This window comes from Homo sapiens, chromosome 11, assembly GCF_000001405.40.
Source record: "Homo sapiens chromosome 11, GRCh38.p14 Primary Assembly".
NCBI classification, from domain to species: Eukaryota; Metazoa; Chordata; class Mammalia; order Primates; family Hominidae; genus Homo; species Homo sapiens.
This window is the reverse complement of record NC_000011.10, coordinates 69,747,394-69,762,330: the sequence shown is the minus strand read 5'-3', so window position 1 is coordinate 69,762,330 and position 14,937 is coordinate 69,747,394. Positions and strand designations below refer to the sequence as shown.

Here is a 14,937-nt window from a genome sequence, read left to right as displayed (position 1 = left end):
GAGACCCCAAGCCAGTTCCAGCCATCCAGTCAGTGACCCAGCACACGTAGCAGCCACATCCGGTTGGCCGATGGGAAGCAGAACAACACCGGCTCAGGAGGTTGGTGCCTTTTTGTTTTTTTTTTGAGACGGAGTCTTACTCTATCACCCTCCAACAGTCGGGATTACAATTGGACATGAGATTCGGGTGGGGACACAGATCCAAACCCTATTAGCCTTCTTCCAGACTGCAGATTGCCAGCTTCTCCCTGTGTCCCCAAATGACAAAGGGGCAAGGGGGCTCTCTGGGGTCCTTTTTTTTTTTAAGATGGAATCTCGCTCAATTGCCCAGGCTGGAGTGCAGTGGCATGATCTCAGTTCAATGCAATCTCCACCTCCCAGGTTCAAGATATTCTCTGCCTCAGCCTCCTGAGTATCTGGGATTACAGGTGCCCACCACCATGCCTGGCTAGTTTTTTGTTTGTTTGTTTGAGATGGAGTCTCACTCTATTGACCAGGCTGGAGTGCAATGGTGTGATCTCGGCTCACTGCAACCTCTGCCTCCTGGGTTCAAGCGATTCTCCTGCCTCAGCCTCCTGAGTAGCTGGGATTACAGGTGCCTGCCACCACCACTGGCTAATTTTTGTATTTTTAGTAGAGACAGAGTTTTATCATGTTGGCCAGGCTGATCTCGAACTCCTGACCTCGTGATCCGCCCGCCTCTTCCTCCCAATGTGCTGCAACCTCTGCCTCCTGGGTTCAAGCGATTCTCCTGCCCAGCCTGTTTTGTTTTGTTTGTATTTTTAGTAGAGATGGGGATTTCACCATCTTGGCGAGGCTGGTCTTGAACTCCTGATCTCGTGATCCACCCGCCTTAGCCTCCCAAAGTGCTGGGATTACAGGCATGAGCCACTGTGCCTGGCCATGGGGTCCCTTTTTTAAAGGCACTAATTCTCACTTATGAAGGCTCCATCTAATGACCTAATCGCCTCCCAAAGTCCCCACCTCCTAACACCCATCACATTAAGGATTGGGGCTCAACATATGAATTTGGGGGGGACACAGACATCAGACCATAGCAGGTGGGACAGGATGTCAGGGCGTCCATTGGAATCAGGAGGGAAGGAGGCAGCACCACCCCTTCCTGGTCTCACCCACCATCGGGGTCACCCCCAGTGGCTCTTGAGCAGAGGCCTAGATGCCTTGGGGACTCCTTTCCTGAAGTCACATCCAAAGTCAGGTGACACACTTCGCTTCTTCAGGCAACTCTTACTCCACTCTGCCCAGCTTCGCACACCAGTCCATGGTGTGTGTACTGGGGGAACAGGGGGCTCTGGCTGGAGCAGTTCCCTGGGCCCCAGGCCTTGGGAGGCCTCATGCACTGAGCTGCCGTCCACATTTCTGGTGCCTGGGACTGGCTGGAGCTAGCAGGTTCCATCCTGTGGGATGTCCTAACCCTGGACTTGGGGCCTATGTGAGCTTCAGTCCTCATTTCTTCCCTTGGGGGATACTCTGCGATCTCTACCCACCACCCTCCCCCTGACACACTCACAGGGTGGACCTGATGACTAGAAGAGCTTCAGGACTTACTCCTGTGGGTCATCGTGGGACCAAGTGGCTTAGTGACCCCTGGTTACCACTCAGTGCTGGTTTCTTTGGACCCCAAGCCCCAGTGCCCACATCTTTGCCTCTGGACTGGCCTCGGTCAGTTGCCCTCTCTGGAACTTCCCCATGTTTGGTCCTGAAATGTCCCTCTGTGTGGAGAGCCCCTGACTCTCCAGCTCAGAGTGGACCTCGATCCTGGGAGTGGAGCTGGGCAGCAAGCCCAGTGGGGACAGCCTGGGTTCAGGGGGCAGGACCTCTGGCACTGCCTGCATTTGCTGTGAGCTTTGAGCAAGGAGACTGAACGCCTCTGAGTCCTGTTCCTTCAACCACGGGATGGAAATAACAATAACAAACCCTTCTCACAGTCATTATGAGGGAACCAAGGCAGAGCTTCTAAAAACTCAGACATCCAAGTGTCTCCAGGGCTGCCTTGGTTCCACTGGGCCCTGGTTCCCACACCTGCCTACCATGTGTACTTTTGTCTACCTGAATTTTTGTTTTGATCTATTCGTTTGTTACTTAAATAATTTTCTTTTAAAATTTTACAGGACAAGCTTCAGTGGAAAAACATTGTCCCTTGTCATACACAGAAGGTAGCCCATGATAAGAAACACAAAATGATGTTGAGAATTTCTTGCAAGATGCAGGTGTCTGCCAAAAGCTCTGAGCCTCGGGCTTGCTGTCTCTTTTTCTCCCCCCACAAGAGAGATTTGCAAGTGTTAGAGGGGTGTTAAGGACTTACTGTCACCAAACAGAGACATTCTCCTGGGAGTGAGAATGGCTGAAAGGGAATAGCTTTCTCACTGGGCGATCCAATGTGACTTAATGTAACCAACCCATGTTCCACCTAGAAATGCCTCTCCTGCTACAGGCCAGTGTGGCACCTGGGGCAGCACCCTGTTAATCCATAGAAAGGGTTCAGCACAACCCCAGGCCGGCGAGTGCTCACAAGGGTGAGCTGTGATTTCAGTGACTCCTATGGCTCGTTGGACGCCACTGTGGACACAGTGAGGCAGCGGAGGCTATCTTCCCAGACAAAGCAGTGGCAGGTCCCTGCAGGACCTCCCAAGGCATCTGACCCAGGAGATAAATTGCATTTGGCAAGAGACCTCATATCTTCAAAGGGCTCCCTGTCACCAGGGCCACTCACAGCACCTCAGTCGACCAGAGACCCTGCAGCCCTGGGCCGTCCCAGAGCACCCCACTTAGGACTTGCTTGCACGTGGCTCTCTGCAAATGTCAGACTCCTGACAAAATGATAGACAAAGCTAAGTGGTGGTGACGTCTTTGACTGTCCTCTCACTGAGAGGTGGGTGCCTATGTCCCTTCCTCTTCAGTCTGAGTGGGCTTCTAACTGCTTCCACCAGTAGCATTGGCAGAAGTGCCACAGTGTGATTTCTGAGGCTGGGTCACCACAGGTGATGCTTGGAGCCCTGAGCCACTGTGTCAGGTTCATACCTGAGGAGGCCATACTGGGAGGAAGCCCAAGCCACACAGAGATCAGAAGTCCAACCACCTGAAGACGCCATACTGGGAGGAAGCCCAAGCTGCACAGAGAGGCCAAGTGTAGGTGTTCCGGCCAGTCCTAGCTAGATCTGGACTTCAAATTGTCCCGACCCAGACATCATACATGTGAAGAGGCCTCCAGGATGGTCCCAGTTCCCATCCATTTGAGTCTTCCCAGCTGAAATTCCAGATGTCATGGAAGAGACAAGCCATCCTGCTGTGTCCTGTCCAAGCTCCTTGTAACAGAACCAGCGAGCTCAATAAAATGGTGGTTGCCACGTGCCACTGAGGTTTGCATCGGTTTGTTACTCAGTAAGAGATGACGGGACAGGTGCTAATGGAGAGGTGGGGAAGAGAGTGGTGAGGCACGCACCCCATTCTCTCTGCAGCCCGCTTCCTCTCCGGGGCCGTGGGACATCCAAGGCAAGATGGTTGCTTGGGTATCTGGCTTCTTTGGGCTGGAAGGAGAGCTGGGACCCGTGGTGGCGAACAAAGCTTGCCTGTCTTTGTGGCTCCTGGCAGAAGCCAGGATTTTCATGTCCTGAAGGGACTCCAGTATCAAGGGCCAGTGCAAACCCTCGTTGGTGTCCCCAGATGGCTAATAGTGCCTGCTGAGCCCTGAGGACCTGGAGGGGTCCCTTAGAGCAGGATGAATTGTTCCCAGCCCCTAGAATTGGCAGAGGGCCTTCATCTATACCTGGGGCCCCAAGCACTGAAAGCTTCTCACCCAAGAGCCAGCAGAGAGGGGATGGCTGATCCCTTCCCTCTACCTTCCTGAGCTTCCCAGACTCAGGGCAGAGGCTGCTGGACCATCCACTGTCTGTCTCCCTCGACCTTCAGCCAGAACGGATGGGGCCTGGGAGAAGACAAAGTCATGATAGATCAAAGACAACAACAACTTATCCAAGGACCCTCAGCTGCCTGGGGAAGGAAGGCCCAGGCCAAAGTGTGATGGAGACTCAGCTGAGAATTCTAGCCAATAAGGGAAAGGAAGGGCATTTCAAGAAGAGATGGAATTAGAAACGACAGAGCAATTAAACTTCTAAAATAAAGTGTAGATGTTTACAATAACTTTTAAATGTTCAATAGATGGGTTTAAAAAAGAAAAAGGATGATGGCTGAGTCTGAGAACTACGAGATCATCCGGCAAAGATATCTCCCAACCCCCCACCCAGTTTCCCTCTGTCTGCGCCCAGCCTCACACGCCTTCTTTCTGTCCTGCCCCCGGGCCTTTGCACACAGCCCCTGCTAGACCTTCCATGCCTGGTGGCTTCTTTTCATCACGCGGCACTCAGCTCCGGCTCAGGGGCACTTCTGAGGACCTCGTAAGATGTCCTCTCTCCCCCGTCACTCCCCCCTTGTGGCACTTAGAATTATTCATATGATCATATTCATTTATTACACATTTTTAAGTTCTGCCCCCTTAGCAGGGGTTGTTTTATGCCAAGTGTTGGCCTTGCCATCCTTGGTCATTGCTGTACCCCAGCAGGGGAGCCGTGCTCACGGTGGCCCAACAGTGTGAGCTTGTTGAGTAAATGAGCAAATGGGATCTGAACATCTTGTGATAACTGGACTAGAATTTGTCATATGTGGTTAAGGACAGATCTTTGGTTTTTTGTTTGTTTGTTTGTTGTTTTGAGATGGAGTCTCGCTTTGTCACCCAGGCTGGAGTGCAATGGTGCAATCTTGGCTCACTGGAACCTCCACCTCCCAGGTTCAAGCAATTCTCCTGACTCAGCCTCCCAAGTAGCTGCAGCTACAGGTGCACACCACCACACCTGGCTAATTTTGTATTTTTAGTAGAGATGGGGTGCCACCATGTTGGCCAGGCTGGTCTTGAACTCCTGATCTCAGATGATCCGCCCACCTCAGCCTCCCATAGTTCTGGGAGTGTCTCCCAGGGCGGGCACATACTTCTGGTGGCTGAGGAAATGGCTATGGATGGCTGGCAGACACAGCACAGTCTTGTTAAACTATGGAGTGGCATGATGGTTCCCTTTTCCTTCTCCTTCATCCTTCTGATTGGGAATGGAAAACTCTCAACTCATGCCAGTGTCCCCCTCACAACCTGCTAGTACTTGCTGATTCTCACATTTTAACACTGAGAGTGCAAAGACACAGGCTGGTGCTCTTGGAAGGACCAGTATTCATTTGGAATACCACCATGAAAGTGCCCAGAGAGATGAGCCAAGCCAGCCCACGGCGGAAGAACTACCTAGCCAACTTGTGGACACTGAGTTAAAGAAATAGCTGGGCTTTAGGCAGGGCGTAGTGGCTGAGGCCTGCAATCCCAGCACTTTGGGAGGCTGAGGCGGGCGGATCACAAGGTAGGAGACTGAGAGCAGCCTGGCCAACACGGTGAAACCCGTCTCTACTAAAAATACAAAAAATTAGCTGGGCGTGGTGGCATGCACCTATAGTCCCAGCTACTTGGGAGGCTGAGGCAGGAGAATTGCCTGAACCCAGGAGGCAGAGGTTGCAGTGAGCTGAAATTGCACCACTGCACTCCAGCCTGGGTGACAGAGCCAGACTCCGTCTAAAATATCCAGAAAGCTAGAAAGAGAACACTTCATAACAAAACGTAGGTATGCAGCAATAGCTGTAATTAGGGGGGATTTTCGCAGCCCAGGATGGTTTTGTTATAAGAGCCTAAAGATAAAATCTATCAAATATTCAAGGTAAGAAAGAAGAAGAGGAAAGTAAACTAAAAGAAATTAGAATGAGGGGATTTGATAGCATTAAAGCTGAAATTAGTTAAGTCGAAAATAAAAAACAGCAGAAAGCATGAAGAAAATCAGAAGTTGGTTCATTGAAAAGGCCAGTACAACGGGAAAAGAACAATTCCTGGCAATCCCAGTTAAGAAAAGAAAAAAGAGAAAGAGAATGAAAGTTACAAATGTAGGAATGAGGAAGAGGTTACAGCCCCCAATAAAGAAGGAATCCATTGATTATGAGAGAAGAAAGCATAGACACCCTACCACTGCAGCCACACAGGTGAAAATACAAGGGAACTGGGCAATACCTTGGTGAAATTCAAACACTAGAATTGATCCCTGAAGAGACAGAAACCCTAAGCACACCATGAAACCACCGGAGAAAGGGAAAACGGGTTGAGAGATCTACTATTTTGAAAAGTCAGGCCTGGCGCGGTGGCTCACGCCTGTAATCCCAGCACTTTGGGAGGCGAAGGCGAGTGGATCACGAGGTCAGGAGATCAAGACCAACCTGGCTAACAGGGTAAAAACCCGTCTCTACTAAAAATACAAAAAATTAGCAGGGAATGGTGGTGGGTGCCTGTAGTACCAGCTACTCGGGAGGCTGAGCCAGGAGAATGGCGTGAACCCAGGAGGTGGAGCTTACAGTGAGCCGAGATCACCCCACTGCACTCCAGCCTGGGCAGCAGAGTGAGACTCCATCTCAAAAAAAAAAAGAAAAGAAAAGAAAAGTCAGCCAGGCGCGGTGGCTCACATCTGTAATCCCAGCACTTTGGGAGGCCAAGGTGGGCGGATCACGAGGTCAGGAGATCGAGACCATCCTGGCCAACCCGGTGAAAACCCGTCTCACCTAAAAATACAAAAAAGTAGCTGGGCGTGGTGGTGGGCACCTGTAGTCCCAGCTACTCGGGAGGCTGAGACAGGAGAATGGCATGAACCCGGGAGGCGGAGCTTGCAGTGAGCCAAGATCGCGCCACTGCTCTTCTGGTGACAGAGCTAGACTCCATCCCAAAAAAAAAAAAAAAAAAAAAAAAGTCAACAGCCTCAGTGGATTTATAGCTGGCTCCTAATTATCTCTAAAGTCCAGAGCACTTCCCAGCCACTTATTGATAAGAAGGAGACAAGTATAGACTTGAAGGGTTAGATGTGCGTTTACTGCACTGACCAGAGCCTGAGTCAGAAAACAGAGGTCAGAGTGATGTGCACACACTGATGCCATGTTTATAAAAACCAGAAGCCGGCCGGGCACGGTGGCCCCACTCGACTTTGGGAGGTCAAGGCAGGTGGATCACTTGAGGTCAGGAGTTCGAGACCAGCTTGGCCAACATGGTGAAACCCTGTCTCTACCAAAAATATAAAAAATTAGCTGGATGTGGTGGCACACGCCTGTAATCCCAGCTACTCTGGAGGCTGAGGCAGGAGAATCTCTTGAACTCAGGAGGCAGAGGTTGCAGTGAGCCGAAATTGCGGCAGTGCACTCCAGTCTGGGTTACAGAGCGAGACTCCATCTCAAAAAAATAAATAAAATAGGCCAGACACGGTGGCTCATGCCTGTAATCCCAGGACTTTGGGAGGCCAAGGTGGGCGGATCACCTGAGGTCGGGAGTTCGAGACCAGCCTGACCAACATGGAGAAACCCCATCTCTACTAAAAATACAAAATTAGCTGGACGTGGTGGTGCATGCCTGAAATCCCAGCTACTCAGGAAGGCTGAGGTGGGAGAATCGCTTGAACCTGGGAGGTGGAGGTTGCGGTGAGCTGAGATCACGCCATTGCCCTCCAGCCTGGGCAACAAGAGTGAAACTCTGTCTCAAAAATAAATAAATAAATAAAAACATAAATACATAGAACAAATAAATATAAAAACCAGGAGCCACAAAAACTCGACACATGAGCATGTGTGCATCTGAATGAACATGGAGTGGAGGGTAGTGTGTGTCCCCAGGCAGCCCACATGGGGTCCCTCTGGGGATGGCAGTGGCATAAGGGGATAACATCATTCCCTTTTGGCATAGTTGCATATTTGTTTCTTGCAAAGGTGTATAGTGTTCAACTCATGACAAAATTAGAAGGGACGCATATCTCTGCTTACACATCTAAGCTGCCACCAAAAGAAACGAACTGCGAGCGCCTTGTCATGTTCACACCTTCCGAGAAAGGTGAATCTTCTACATAAAAAGGAAAGAAGGGCTGGGAGAGGAGTCCCATATGTGTTCCTTCTGGCCGCCATGACAAAGCACCACAGACGGGCAACAGCCGATTATCCTCTCACTGCCCTGGAGGCTAAGATCAAGGTGTGGCAGGACTGGCTCCTCCGGGGCCTCTCCCCTTGGCCTGCAGATGCCACCTTCTCCCTGTGTCCTCCTGTGGTCATCCCTCTGTGGGTGTCTGTGTCTTCATCCCTTCTTGGGTGTTTTGTTTTGTTTTGTTTTTGAGACAGGGTCTCACTTTGTTGCCCAGGCTGGAGTGCAGGGGCGAGATCATGGCTCACTGCTGCCTTGACCTCCCAGGCTCAGGTGATCCTCCTGCCTCAGCCTCCCAAGTAGCTGGGACCAAAGGCATGCACCACCACACCCGGCTGATGTTTGTATTTTTAGTAGAGGGGGAGTTTCACCATGTTGCCCAGGCTGGTCTCGAACTCCTAAGCTCAATTGATCCACCTGTCTCGACCTCCCAAAGTGCTGGGATTACAGGCGTCAGCCACTGCGCCCAGCCCTCATGTCTTCTTACAGGGACATGAGTGAGGTGGAATGAGGGTCCACCCATATAATCTCATTTTACCTTAATTGCCTCTGTGAAGACCCCATTTCCAGATGCAGATTCTGGGGGCACTGGGATTAGCCTTTAACCTATGAAACTGAGGGCACGATTCAGCCATGAGATACCCTTTGAGCATCAGCGTGGAAGTGGGGTGTCGAGCACAGTCACTGCTCATGACATTATGCATTATCCCCTCCCTGTTCTCCTCCAGGGTGGGGCACCTCACAGACGATGTGCAGTGACTTGTCCAAGGTCACACTGCTGTGAGCAGCAGAGCCACCGTAGGATCCACCACAGGGTGAGTTTCCAATGTGGGGTATCCTTGACCCACCGTGAACACATCTGCATGTCCCAGGGTGAGAAACGCAGTGTGCACAACCGTACCTCGGGCAAACCCCCCGATCCAGGTGCAGAGACCGCCTAAGCCCCTCTCAGGCTCTGTGGCCAGGAAGGGGCACCCAGACATGCCCTGGGCAGGTGGGCAGTCTCTGTCCTGGTCCGGGTTTGCCCCTCAGACACACTCACACTTCCCAGGGAGGCCCCTGGGCTCTTCTCAGTTCCTTGACACCAGCCCAGGAGATTGTGGATTTCAAGAGAGGAGCAAACAGAGGCTGGGGAAAGCCCCAGAACCCGTGAGCCCCCTGATCTTTGAAAGCAGCTCCAGGGCCAGGTCCTGATTTGTACTTCAGAGCTAATGTGATTAGGGCTAGGATTGTCGCCAGAGTATGTTAATGGACTTCAATAGCCCCCAATTACCTGGGGAGGGGGACTGCCTGGGGTGGCTGGAGCCTAGCCAGGGGTCTGGGCAGAGAATGGGCTGGGACCGGGGCTCCATCTGTGCTGAAATTCTTCCTTTGGGGCCTTCTGGAGAGGCCCTGAAGACCCCATGAGTGGCCACCTCATTTCACAGGTGAGGAAAGCCAGGTTAGAGGCAGCTTAAGTTACCTGCCCAAGTTCTTCCTACAGGTAATGCAGGGCCACATTCAGCCCCAAATCTCTCTCTCTTTTTTTTTTTTTTTTGAGATGAAGTCTAGCTCTGTCACCCAGGCTAGAGTGCAGTGGCACGATCTCCACTAACTGCAACCTCCACCTCCCAGGTTCAAGCGATTCCCCTGCCTCAGCCTCCCGAGTAGCTGGGATTACAGGTGCACACCATAGCACCCAGCTAATTTTTGTATTTTTTGTAGAGACAGGGTTTCACCATATTGGGCAGGCTGGTCTCAAACTCCTGACCTCAAGTGATCTGCCCGCCTCAGCCTCCCAAAGTGCTGGGATTATAGGCATCAGCCACTGCGCCCAGCCTCCCAAATCTCTTTAACCCTAAACCCTCCTCAGGCTCCTTCTCTCCAGTGACAGGCTCAAGAGACAGCCCAGGCTGGAAAGGTAAGTGGGTCCAGAGGTGCTTGGGCCTCATTGCCATTGACCAAGTCACAGAGGAGTCAAAGGGCAGCGCAGGGGTTTCCCAGGACTGCCTTAACAAACGTCACAAGCTTGGTGGCTTAAAACATAAAAAATCCGGCAGGGCGAAGTGGCTCTTGCCTGCAATCCCAGCACTTTGGGATGCCGAGGTGGGCAGATCATGAGGTCAGGAGTTCAAGGCCAGCCTGACCGACATGGAGAAACTCCGTCTCTACTAAAAATACAAAAAATTAGCCAGGCGTGGTGGTGGGTGCCTATAATCCCAGCTACTTGGGAGGCTGAGGCAAGAGAATCGCTTGAACCTGGGAGGCGGAGGTTGCAGTAAGCCAAGATTGCGCCACTGCACTCCAGCTCAGGTGACAGTGTGAGACTCTGTCTCAAAAAAACAAACAAAAAAACATCAAAAATCTGTTCTGGAAACTAGAAGTCCAAAATCAAGGCCTGGGCAGGGCTGTGCACCCTCCGAAGGCTCTGGGGGAGGATCCTCCTGCCTCTTCCAGCTCCTGGGGTCTCCTGGCGCTCCGGACTAGGGCTGCATTGTTCCCGTGCCTCCCACCGTCTTCACGTGGGCTTCTCTGCTTCTGTTTCTCTCCTCTGCTCTGAGAAGAGTGCCTACATTCAATTTACGTCCCACTTGAAACTCAAGAGGACCTCATCTCCAGATCCTAAGCTTAATTCCATCTGCTAAGACCCGATTTCCCAGTGAGATCTCACTCACAGGCCACAGGGGTTAGGAAGTGGACATATCTTTTTTTTGTGGAGGGGGACACCATTCTACCTCCTGTAGCTGAGGAGGAACGAGCCCATCCCCACATCACCCAGCCTTGCTGGGTGGGGCCCCCCCTTCTGGGCTCTGGAGACAAGAGGCAGAGGCTGGCCTGGCTGACCCCTCCAAGATCAGGGCCCAAGTCCCGTGAGGACAGAGGAGCCAGCCCGGCCTGGGCTGTGGGTGATTAGAGAAGTGACATAACCCAGAGGAAGGCAGGTCCTTAAAAGCCAGTCCTGAGAGGGTGGGAGCAAGACCTGCCATCCTCCTCACCAGCCCACAGGCTGGTGCCACCTCCCACTCTCTCCCCAGTCCTGGTGGTACGAGCTGCCTTCTTCCTGCAACCCGTCCAGCCCCAGGGCCTTTGCACCTGCACATCCACCTGGAGGGTTTGTGCCCAGATCTTCACAGGTGGGCTCTCCCACACTGGGAAGGCATCCTCCCTAACCCCAGCTACAGCTACAGCCTCCCAGACACTCCCTCTCACAACCCTGGCCTCTGCCCCTCCCTAGCCTGCGTGAACAGCCCAGACCATCGAGTTCCCGTCTACTGAGTGTCTCCTCCTGGACTCCGAGCCCCATGACAGCAAGCCCTTGCCTGTCTCACTTGTCCCTATCACGGCTGCATCCCGTGTCTGTAAGAGCACCCAGCATGCAGCAGGGCCTGGATGAATGCTTGTTGAGTGAATGAGTGAGCACTCACAGAGAGGTGGTTGGTTTCTAGGTTCACCCCCAGCCCTGAAGATCTCTGCCAGGCAGCTGGAGTCTGGGGAGGTGGTTCCAAACTCCACGCCTCCTCCTGTCTGCGGAGAGGGCCATGGGTTTGTTTGGCAACCTCAGGGTGCTGGCTCCTCACAGACACCTGGGTGGCTTCCTCCAGCTGGCTGGGATCCAGGCAGCCCCTGGGAGGGTCCAGCCACCTTCACACCTGGGGCACGGTCAGCCTGGCTCTTTGCTGGAGTCTGTGGTGCCCAGATTTGGAGCCTTTTGGTGAGAAATGTGCATTTTCATGGCAAGATGGTCTCAGGAAATCTCCACCTATTCATGTGCAAAACACAGGGGCGTCTGGGGTCCCCAGGGGCTGGAGCTTTGACAAACAAGGATCAGAGGGAGTGGCAGAGGGGCCTGAAGTCCAAAATCAAGGTGTGGGCAGGGCTGTGTGCCTGTCCTGTGCGGGGCCAGGAGCCAAGGCCAGAAGAGGTGCAGGGCTGGGAGGCTGGCCAGAGCATCCCGGTCTAATTCTGCTGGGCCTGAGGCTGAGGATGACGGGCCTCTCGTCCAGGTCACACTAGTGCTGGGGCCACACTTGCTCCAGGCAGTTGGTCATGTGCAAGACAGCAGGGGTCAGGATGCCTGGATTCAGCCCCAGCGTAGCTGCTGACTCCAAGAGGGGCTTTCAGCAAGTCAGCCCACCGCCCCGGGCCTCAGTTTCCTTCTCTGTGAAATGAAACTTGGTCACTTCTACTGTTCATTTCTGGCTCTGAAAATCTTAGGATTCCAGAAACTCCATCTTCTGCCCAGCGCAGGAATCCTTCTCGTCTTTCCTTGAATACTCTCAGTGAGGAGGCGCTCACTCTCAGGACCAAAGGGGCTGGACGCAGGAGACAGAGCACGGCTGGATTCTCTGCTGGACACTCTGATTGTGGCCAGTCCTCTCTGGGGACTCACACGGGGATCCCTAGAGGCTCAAGCGTCGTCTCCCCCAGGCTGTCAGATAAGATCTGGGATGCCCAGCTAAGTTTGAATTTGAGATAAATGACAATTCCTTAGTGTAAGTATAACCCAACAACTGCAGGGGATATACTTATACTAACAACTTATTCAGTGTTTATCTGAAGTTCACGTTGAACTGGGTGTTCTGTTTTGCTTGCTAAGTCTGGCAACCCCAACATGTAGCTCTTCTTTCTGGAGCCCTGGGGACTCTTCCACACCCCTTTTTCCAGGGTAGGTTTGACAGAGGGACTATGACCCTTTTTTGTGTGGGGGGGATGGAGTTTTACTTTTGTTGCCCAGGCTGGAGTGCAATGGCACCCTCTCGGCTCACTGCAATCTCCACCTCCCAGGCTCAAGTGATTCTCCTGCCTCAGCCTCCCCAGTAGCTGGGATTACAGGCATGCACCACCACGCCCTGCTAATTTTTGTATTTTTAATTTTATTTATTTATTTATTTTTTGGAGATGGAGTTTCACTCTTGTTGCCCAGGCTGGAGTGCAATGGCGTGATCTCAGTTCACTGCAACTTCCTCCTCCTGGGCTCAAGCGATTCTCCTGCCTCAGCCCCCTGAATAGCTGGGATTGCAGATGTGCACCACCACACCCAGCTAATTTTTTGTATTTTTAGTAGAAACGGGATTTCACCATGTTAGCCAGGCTGGTCTTGAACTCCTGACCTCAGGTGATCCTCCCGCCTCAGCCTCCCAAAGTGCTGGGATTACAGGCATCAGCCACCACACCCAGCTAATTTTTGTAGTTTTAGTAGAGACGGGGTTTCACCATGTTGGTCAGGCTGGTCTCAAACTCCTGACCTCAAGTGATCCACCTGCCTCAGCCTCCCAAAGTGCTAGGATTACAGGCACCTGGCCAGGACTGTGACTCTTAAGACGAGGGCAGGAAGGATCGAGGCCTGGCCCTGGCTTTAGGTTGAGCTATTGGGATCCCGCTTCTGCATGGTCCTGACCCGGGGCCATGCATAAGTGGGAGAAATGCGTGCTTCTGAGGGGGGTGTGCTGCGGGCCCCCTAGGATCACAGGCGCCCATGCTGGGGTGCAGCTGACGGTGCCCCAAGCAGTGCCCCTCTGGCGCGCCTCCCTCTCACCTCCAAGACCTCCAGGGACAGCCGCAGGAGACCTTTGCTTGAAAGCTCTGCTAACTGTCTGTTGTCTTCCCTCTTGCCTTCTTCTGCAGTCTAATACACTATCTGGCTGAACCACCACCCTCCAAACCCCAGTGGGAGGTGAACAGGCCAGCCAGTCACCCCCTTGCCCTGAGGAGTTCGGGCTCTGCCCCTGACCCTCCCCTTTCATCCCTGGAGACCTACCTCTCCAATTTAGGATTCTCAGCGAACGGTCCCAAAGCCAACTCTGGAAATTTAACACACTGAGGACCTCCCAGGCCTCCCGGTGCCCACAGCTTATTGCTGTGGTAGTGAATGAACAAACATCCTACTCCAACGGCACTTATGCTGAGGTGGGGGAGAGAAGACAAGTAAAACAAGTAAGAAAATGACACAGTGTCTCAGGAGGTGGGGAGAGGCAGAATGGAGAAGAAAGAAAGGGAGGGCTGCAGGGAAGGCCAGGGAGGGGGCGGGATGGGAGGGGCTGCCACTTTAATTCCAGTGTTCGGGAGAAGCTGTGCTGAAGAAAAAGTGTCCCTTGGGCATCGATGAGAGGGCAGCCTGCAAGTGGATCCAGGGAGGGTGCCTCAGGCAGAGGACTCAGTGGGGACAAAGGCCAGGAGACTGGACTGGAAGAGAGAGGAGGTCAGGGCAGCTGCAGCAGCGGGTGGGTGGAGAGCAGAGAGGGAGCTGCAGAAGCAAAGGGCCTAGGGGGCCATGGCAAGGCTCGAGCTTTGCTTGGAGTGAAGTGGGAGCCACTGGGCCTTTTTTTTTTTTTTTTTTTTTTGAGACGGAGGCCCGCTCTGTCGCCCAGGCTGGAGTGCAGTGGCATGATCTCGGCTCACTGCAACTTCCGCCTCCCTGGTTCAAGCGATTCTCCTGCCTCAGGCTCCCGAGTAGCTGGGATTACAGGTGCCCGCCACCATGCCTGGCTAATTTTTGTATTTTGAGTAGAGACGCAGTTTCACCACGTTGGTCAGGCTGGTCTCGAACTCCTGACCTCGTGATCTGCCCACCTTGGCCTCCCAAAGTGCTGAGATTACAGGCGTGAGCCACCACGCCTGGCCGCCATTGGGGGAATTTAAGCTGAGCAGGAGCCTGATGAGACTTGAGCTGTAAAAGGGTCTTCTGACTGTGGGACTGAGAACAGATCACTGTGGAACAAGGAGGAGAGACCACCTGAAGGCTCCTGTCATCACGAGGGGAGCGAGGTGGGTGCCTGGAATGCCAGGGGAACTGGGGTTGGAGAGAAGAGGTGGCGGGTGAGCCAGGACTCTGCACACGTCATGCTGTCTCAGCTCACAGGGACAGCCAGGCTGCCTCCCTGCCCTTGACCTTGATGACCCCTGACACTTTG

The 14,937-nt window shown here is 53.0% G+C and overlaps 2 annotated features.

Moving 5' to 3' along the window:
* Window positions 10,747-11,337: an enhancer, noted in NCBI's record as "H3K27ac-H3K4me1 hESC enhancer chr11:69565762-69566352 (GRCh37/hg19 assembly coordinates)". NCBI's record gives its function as "activates a minimal SCP1, AML or CMV promoter by ChIP-STARR-seq in primed H9 embryonic stem cells {active_cell/tissue: H9 hESC(primed)}" and the evidence as "EXISTENCE:reporter gene assay evidence [ECO:0000049][PMID:30033119]".
* Window positions 11,338-11,927: an enhancer, noted in NCBI's record as "H3K27ac-H3K4me1 hESC enhancer chr11:69565172-69565761 (GRCh37/hg19 assembly coordinates)". NCBI's record gives its function as "activates a minimal SCP1, AML or CMV promoter by ChIP-STARR-seq in primed H9 embryonic stem cells {active_cell/tissue: H9 hESC(primed)}" and the evidence as "EXISTENCE:reporter gene assay evidence [ECO:0000049][PMID:30033119]".